The sequence below is a fragment of the Homo sapiens genome, chromosome X (assembly GCF_000001405.40).
Source record: "Homo sapiens chromosome X, GRCh38.p14 Primary Assembly".
NCBI classification, from domain to species: domain Eukaryota; kingdom Metazoa; phylum Chordata; class Mammalia; order Primates; family Hominidae; genus Homo; species Homo sapiens.
The window spans coordinates 142,157,655-142,166,829 of record NC_000023.11 but is presented as its reverse complement, the minus strand read 5'-3'; positions in this window follow the sequence as shown (position 1 = coordinate 142,166,829).

The following is a 9,175-nucleotide window of genomic DNA, read 5'->3' as shown; positions in this document are numbered from 1 at the left end:
CATGTATATGCTGTGTATATATATATACATGTATACATATAAAACTATACATGTGTAATAATATGCATATAGATCTGCTGCTTGCCTTTGCTACTATTATAGGTTCAATTTCATCTTCTCCCAAATTCTACATTGAAATTAAAATGTGACATTATTTAGAGATAGAATTATTTCAGATGCAATTAAGTTAAAATGAGGTTATTAATGCTGGCCCTAATCAAATATGATGGGAGTCATTATAAAAAGGGGAAATTTAGACACAGAGATGAATAGAGGGATGACAATGAGCACGCATGGACTGAAGACAGCCCATGCCTCCACAAGGCAAGGAGAGAGGCCTGGAAAACATCCTTCCCTCACAGCCCTCAGAAGGAATCAACCTTGCGAATGCCTTGCTCTTTGACTACCAGACTCCCAAACTATGAGACAATAAATTTTTGTTGTTTATGTCATCCAGGTTGTGGTACTTTGCTATGGCAGTCCTAATAAACCAACATAATCACTTATTAAAATGGATCTGGCCGGGCGCGGTGGCTCATGCCTGTAATCCCAGCACTTTGGGAGGCCGAGGCAGGTGGAACTCCTCACCTGAGGTCAGGAGTTCGAGACCAGCCTGGCCAACGTGGTGAAACCCTGTCTCTACTAAAAATACAAAGATTAGCTGGGCATGGTGGCTTACACTTGTAATCCCAGCTACTCGGGAGGCTGAGGCAGGAGAATTGCTTGAACCCGGGAAGCGGAGGTTGCAGTAAACCCTGATCGTGCCACTGCACTCCAGCCTGGGCGACAAGAGTGAAACTCTGCTGCTAAAAAAAAAAAAAAAAAAAAAAAAGGATCTAAGATCTTTCCATGACAGCACATACAGACTAAGATCTTTCCATGACAACACATATAGATCTATCTCACTATTGGGACTACTTCCTAGAATTCCATTTTATTTCTGTGCAATAACCAATTGAACAATTTTCCTCCTGATGAACACACACGTGTTTCTCTTTTGTGGCTATAATTAAAATAAATAAATTCAACATATTTGAGCATAAATTCTGGGACAAATGCCTATAGTTCCTTATAAGGAATGCACATTCATATGGAAACTGAGTCAGTGTGAACAGAGTATGAATATCTTATACTTCATAATGTTGGTGGCTTTTTCCCCAAAATGTTTAACCAGTTAATTTCCCCCATATTTTTGTCTATGGGGAAACCATTTATTCACAAACGTATTTTATCACAGTTTTAAATATTGGTCAAACTTATGGGTGCAAACCCTAGGTGACTTGGTTTTGGTGATGAATTTTGTAGATGCAACATCAACGTTTTGGTCAAACTTATAGATGCAAATCCCGGGTGACCTTGAGTTTTATGATGACTTTCTCAGATGCAACACCAAAAGTACCAACCATTTGAGAAACAAGAGATAAATTGGACTTCACGACAATTAAAAATTTCTACTCTGAAATGACACTGCTAAGATAATGAAAAGACAAGCCAGAAACTTGGATAAATGTTTTGTGAAACACGTTTGATAAAATATATGTATTCAAATATGCACAAAACTCTGAAAACCCAGCCATCAGAGAATAGAAAACCCAATTTAAAGTAGGCAAAAAAAAAAAATCGGAACGGGCACCCCACCAAAAAATAAATATATAGGAATGGAAAATAAGCGTATATAATAAAACTGTTCAATGTCATATAACATTAGAGAATTGCAAATTAAAGCACCTAGGAGATAGCACTCTACACCCAGGAGAATGGCTGAATTCCCAAACACTGAAATGTCAAATGTTGACACATATGTTGAGCAACAGGAACTTTCAGGCATTGTTTAAGTGGGAAAGACCTGGAGGAATCATGTAAACATATTGCTAAGAGAAAGAAGAAAATCTAAACAGGCTACATAATGTATGATTACAATCATACAATATTCTGGAACAGGTAACTATGAATACACTAAAAATAGTAGTGGTTTCCAGGGCCTTAGTGGCTGGGGTTGAGGCACAGGGGATTAAGAAATAGGTGGAGTACAGGAGATCTAGGATGGTGAAACAATTCATTGTGATACTGTGATGAATACTTGCCATTACACACTTATCAAAACTTTTAACATCTCCAAAGTTAGGGAGCCCAGATGTGAGCTGTTGACTTTACTTAATAATGAGGTATCAATACAGGTCCATCTGTTGTAGCAAACATGCCATAATAATACAAAATATAAATCATAGGAGACACTGTGCGTGTGTGTGTGTGTGTGTGTGTGTGTGTGTGTGTGTGTGTGAAGTGGGCAGGGCAGGAAGAGTGGTGTACATATGTAGGAACTCTGTAATTTTTATGAAATTTTGTTTTTTTTTTTTGCAGTCAGAGTGCAAATCATTATTAGGTGGATTTGGAAGGTCAAAGATCCAACACCAACATAGTTTGGATTTTAAGCACAAAAACTCTATTTTCTGTAACAAAGCACAGTTTCTTATTTCAAAAAATCCAGTCTTTCTTTTTTTTTCTTGGTAAGATGATTCTTTTCTTTCTTTCTTTTTTTTGTTATACTTTAAGTTTTAGGGTACATGTGCACAACGTGCAGGTTTGTTACATATGTATACATGTGCCATGTTGGTGTGCTGCACTCATTAACTCATCATTTAACATTAGGTATTTCTCCTAATGCTATCACTCCCCCTCCCCCCACCTCACGACAGGCCCTGCTGTGTGATGTTCCCCTTCCTGTGTCCATGTGTTCTCATTGTTCAATTCCCACCTATGAGTGAGGACATGCGGTGTTTGGTTTTTTGTCCTTGCAACAGTTTGCTGAGAATGATGGTTTCCAGCTTCATCCATGTCCCTACAAAGGACATGAACTCATCCTTTTTTATGGCTGCATAGTATTCCATGGTGTATATGTGCCACATTTTCTTAATTCAGTCTATCATTGTTGGACAGTTGGCTTGGTTCCAAGTCTTTGCTATTGTAAATAGTGCCGCAATAAACATACGTGTGCATGTGTCTTTATAGCAGCATGATTTATAATCCTTTGGGTATATACCCAGTAATGGGATGGCTGGGTCAAATGGTATTTCTAGATTCCTCAGGAATCGCCACACTGACTTCCACAATGGTTGAACTAGTTTACAGTCCCACCAACAGTCTAAAAGTGTTCCTATTTCTCCACATCCTCTCCAGCACCTGTTGTTTCCTGACTTTTTAATGATTGCCATTCTAACTGGTGTGAGATGGTATCTCATTGTGGTTTTGATTTGCATTTATCTGATGGCCTGTGATGATGAGCATTTTTTCATATGTCTGTTGGCTGCCTAAATGTCTTCTTTTGAGAAGTGTCTGTTCATATCCTTCGCCCATTTGTTGATGGGGTTGTTTTTTTCTTATAAATTTGTTTGAGTTCATTGTAGATTCTGGATATTAGCCCTTTGTCAGATGAGTGGATTGCAAAAATTTTCTCCCATTCTGTAGGTTGCCTGTTCACTCTGATGGTAGTTTCTTTTGCTGAAATTTTCTCTTTATATTTTTGGATTAACAGTGCTCTAAAAATGAAGTCTATTAGTTTTTAGAAATATGCACATCATTTGAACAGATACTTTAGCAAAGAGGATATACCATTCAGAAAGAGGAATATAAAAAGATGGCCAACATAATTTGTTATTAGGAAGATGCACACAAAAACTAAAGAAGATTCCAATACATGCTTATTAGAATGGCTAAAATTCGAGAATCTAAAATACCAAATATGAGCGGATATGGAACAACAGGAATTCTCGTTCCCTGCTATTTGTGATGAAAAATGATACAGCTAGGTTTATAAGTCAGTATTTTATCAGCCTATTCATAATGACAAATTTGGAAAGTTAAAACCGTAGGAACTGAAAACAGAGCAAAGTTGCTAGGGACTTTGGAGAAGTGCAGTGTTTGACCTCAAACGGAATGCACAGTGGAATTTTAGGTTGATTGAACTCATCATTATAATACTTGAATGGTAGATGTGGACCTCCATGCATTTGCCTAAATAAATAAAGCTTTACATAGCAGTTAAATTTGATGTATGTATTTAAAATGTTTATTTAACTTTTATCTTAAACTCAGAGATGCAAGTGTAGGTTTGTTACATATGTCGACTTGTGTCATAGGGATATTTGTACAGATTATTTCATCACCCAGCTATTAAGCCTAGTACCCATTCATTATTTTTCCTGATCTTCTCCCTCCTCCCACCCTCCACCCCCGCCAAAGACCCTAGTGTGTGTTGTTCCCCTTTATGTGTTCATGGTGTTTTCATCATTTAGCTCCTACTTATAAGTAAGTACATGCAGTATTTGGTTTTCTGTTCCTGTGTTTGCTAAGGATAATGGCCTCCAGCTCCATCTATGTCATGGATTGGATTTTCAAAAGGATCATAGCCTGCTGAAAAGACAGTGGATTTTACAGGGACAATGATAGAAAAAGTAGCAACAACAAAGGCGCCTTTAGCCTAGCCTAAGTGAAAGAAAATATTAACTTCACACACAGCAGTAGTAATGGAGATTGAAAAAGTGGAAGGATTTGAAATGGATTTTAGCAGTTGAAGGAACAAAGTTGCTGTTGGTTTTGATTTGGGATAAGGTAAATGTAGGCATCAAGCACAACAGGAAAAACTCTGCCATCTTTGATGTTAACAAAAATCAAATTGAGCCATACTTTGTTCTTTCAATTTTTTGTCAGCCTTCATGTGTATTTTGTAACCTGTCAGAAACATGCACAAATGTTTCTTCTTCTTTGAAATCTGGGAATTCCCTCCCTTCCTGCAACCCTGTGCCCAACAATTCTATATTCATGGCAACTATGGTACACCTTCACTGGCAGAAGCAGCATGTTCACTGAAGGATGAATCTAAAGTGAGAATAAGGGACTGAAGGTGAGTCATTTGGGGGATGTTTAGAGAATGGTTGTGTTCACTCATTTCAAAGGTCCCTGACACGCCCCACTGATGCCATCACAAGAACCTTAGTGCCTCTTGCTTCTGGACAGGAGACTTACTTCCAATAGCAGTAGGTAAAATGATAGACTGCCATTTTCTTTTCACCTTCCATAAGAAGTGCTCCTTTCTTGGGACCTCAGAAGAACAACTCCATGTGGATAATTTCCAAGGACATGGGGCCCAGAGCTGGAACTCAGCCTACCAGCTGCCTCCCAGTCTGGAAGATCTTCCTTCTCTGTGGGTTTCCACCTTGAGCACTGAGGTTTGATACACCAATCCTGGCTGTGAGCAGAGGCCAACTGCCCTTGGGACCTTGAGCCAAAGCTGAGGAAGGAAATCAGCTCATGAACGGCTGAGTTGATCCTGGCCATAGTGGATGGAGAGAAGCCCAACCCTCAGTGAAATCTCTGGCAAAGCCATATGTCAACCTCTTTTGGAATCTCAGGGCCCCTCAATCCTTCTGAGGGCTCTGTCAGGAGTAAGAACAGCTGAAAGGAAGTATGTGGAGCTCTTATCCATGTGGAGAGGGAGACAGGCCTCTACTCCTATTATGTGGGCAACCTGGCACAGCCATTATGTCAGGAAAGTGTTTGTGGACCTGGTCAGGGTGTCTATCATCAACACGACATCCCTCTGTCATGACTTTCTGGAATAGAGCTGCTAAAGTTACATCTCTTAGATCCCCAGAGTTCCAGAGGTCAGCAGGAGGATGGGTCAAGTCAGAGGGGGAATTAATATGTCATTATCCCAGGTAGCATTTCCCCAGCCACTATTGATTCCCAAATCCTGCTCTCAGAAAGCAAAGGCTCATTAAAGTAGCAAAGCCTTCTATGGCTGGGACAAGGGGGCAGAAAGAGCTGCCATTTCATCTCTTCCTCTTTGACTCATATCATCTTGTTTCCTTCTGTTACTGGTGTGACCAATGACCCCAGCCTGTTTCAGTTCTTTCACCTCTAGCCTTACTGATGCTCTAATTTACTCTTACTGCTGACTCACTAAAAGATCATCTATACAAAGTCTTATTTGTTTTTTCATGTATGTTTGTGTATATTTGATTTTTTTAATAGGAAGCTGAGGCAGGAGAATCGCTTTAACCTGGGAGGCGGAGGTTACAGTGAGTCAAGATCGCTCCACTGCACTCCAGCCTGGGTGACAGAGCAAGACTCCGTCTCAAAAAAAAAAAAAAAGCACACAATATCTGTGAGGTGTGATAAAGCAAAGTGCAAAAAAAATGAAATATGCCTATAATATGAAAATTCTAACTGTGAAATGTTGATAAAGTTACCTATGTAAACTATGAAACATGAGCCACAACTTTACCTATTAAAAAGTACTACAAAATCTCAAGTTTTCATGAAGAACAAGAAGGAAAAGTTATAAACACCCTCACAAAACTGATGATTCTTTAATTTCATCAGATGTTCTGCCCATCCCACCAGGCCATGTTGAAATACTTGTTTTTATGGGCATGAGAGCACTCACTTGGTATTGCTTGGATTTTCTGCTTATTTGTTCAGTTTTTTTACCCCATGGTCAGCTCTATTTTTAAAATAACTCCAGTTATTTTAAAAGCAAGCAAACAGTTGTATAATTGTATTCCACAGAAAAACTCTGAAAATTTGCTCAGTGAATAAATTGTACTTGTTGATAAAAAGGACTAGGAAACACCAAGTATTTCATATCTCTCTTTCTCTCTCTCTCTCTCTCTCTCTCTCTCTCAAACACACACACACACACACACACACACTCTCTCTCTCTCTCGTTCTCTCTCACAAAACCTAGGGCAAAAATATAGCCATTATCAACATGGGAAAGTGTACATTTTCTAAACTAGACTATTTCACAACATTTAAAATTTATAAAAATAAATAAAATTACCAAAACAAAACAAAAACAAACAAAAAAAGTAAACATTTTTAAAGTAGGTTTTGAATTTGTCTGTAATTGCCTTTTGTGTATAGCGTGAAAAAGGGGTCCACTTACACTAGAGTTTTTATATGGATATTCAGGCGTTCCAATGACACTTATTTCAACAAGACTGTCTCTTGCGCTAGAGCTGCACATTTTTTTTTTATCAGTTAAGTGTGCGTTTATACATGTTTTGTTGGTTTCATTTTTCAGGACTCTCCATTCAGTTCCATTGGTCTGTCAATCCCTGCACCTAAATCTCAAACTCTTAATTGCAATAGTTTCTTTGTAATTCCTAATATCTGGTAGACTTATTGCTCTTTTTCAATAGTGTATTGACTATACGTGGTCCTCTGAATGCCTTCATATTTTAGAATCAGGTGATTAATACATGCATTTATGTCTAAAGCCCTTTGGTTGTTTTGATTTGGGATTGCAATCAATCTGTGGATTCCTTCTTTGGGAGAACTATTGAAACTTCATGGCCGCGAATTTATTTTATTTTATGGTCATGTGAATCTTCATTAGTATCTTAAAATAACATTTTAATGTTTTTTTTTTTCTGTAACTTTTATTTTGGTTAAGTTTTTTAAGATACTTGATATTTGGTATAATAGTTTAGAAGTTATATTTACTTTCATTATCATACTTATTGTTGCCGCAAGAAAATGGAGTTCATTTTTTTGTTATTGATTTTATACATAGGAAACATATATTTTCATCTATTGATAATCTTAGCCATGCCACTGTTGCTGGTTGTATGCCCATTTGAGTATAGACGCTGCTGCCACTGCCCCACTGAAACACTTTAGCCAGCAACCGCCATCAGAGTGTTGTTGCCGGTGGACAAGGAGCACCTCAGCATTTCTAGCATAGCAGTTGCCTAACCTCAAGGGGACAGAGAACAAAGATGTGGGCCTGGTACCAGTCCCCAGTTAGAGCATGCAGACCAGGAGTATTAACCTGAGCTTTTGCCTTCTAAAATCTTCCAGAAATGAAGCTAGTTGACTAAACCCACCTTATACAACAAACCCTCTAGGGCATCAAGGAATAGAAAAGAAAAAAAAAAACATCCAAAGTACAGCAACTTCAACTAATGAAGGAACATCTGTCCACACAGATGAGAAAGGAGCAGCACAAGAACTATAGCATCTCCAAAAACCAGAGCATCTTCTTTTTTTCCACACTACCACACTAGTTCTCCAGCAGTGGTTCTTAACCAGGGTGAAATGGCTACAAAGACAGACATAGAATTCAGAATCTGGATAGCGACACAGATCGTTGAGATTCAGGAGAAAGTCAAAACCTAATCCAAATAATCTAAGGAATCCAATAAAATGATAGAAAAGCTGAAAGATGAAATCACCATTTTGAGAAGAAACCAAACAGAACTGATAAGGCTAAAAAACTCACTGAAGTAATTTTATAATACAACTGAAAGTATTAACAACAGAATAGGCCCAGCAGAGGAAAGAATCTCTGAGCTTGAAAACCAGTTATCTGAATCAACTCAGTCAGAAAAAAATATAGAAAGAAGAATAAAAGATAATGAACAAAATCTCCAAGAAATTTGAGATTATGTAATGAGACCAATACTGCAACTTATTGGCATCCCTGAAATAGAGAAAGAATAAGCAACTTGGAAAACATATTTGAGGATATAATTCACAAAAATTTCTCTAACCTTGCTGGACTGGTCGACATTCAAATTCAGAAAATCCAGAGAAGCCCTGAGAGATACTGTACAAGACAACCATCTCCAAGTTACATAGTCATCAGATCCTCCAAGGTCAACATGAAGGAAAAAATATTAAAGGCAGCTAGAGAGAAGGGGCAGGTGACCAACAAAGGTAACCCCATCAGGGTAAACCTATCAGCAGAAACTCTACAAGCCAGAAGAGACTGGGGACCTATATTCAGCATTTTTTTTTACTTCCAACTCTTATTTTAAGTTCAGGGGTACATGTGTAGGATGTGCAGGTTTGTTACATAGTTAAACATGTGCCATAGTGATTAGCTGTACAGATAACCCTATCACCTAGATATTAAGCCCAGCATCCATTAGCTATTCTTCCTGATGCTCTCCCTTCTCCCACCCCAACCCTCCGACACGCCCCAGTGTGTATTGTTCTTCTCCCAGTATCCATGTATTCTCATTGTTCAGCTCCCACTTATAAGTGAGAACATGTGGTGTTCGGTTTTCTGTTCTTTTCATTAGTTTGCTGAGGATAACGGCTTCCAGCTTCATCCAAGTCCCTGCAAAGGACAATATCTCATTTCTTTTTATGGTTGCATAGTATTCTA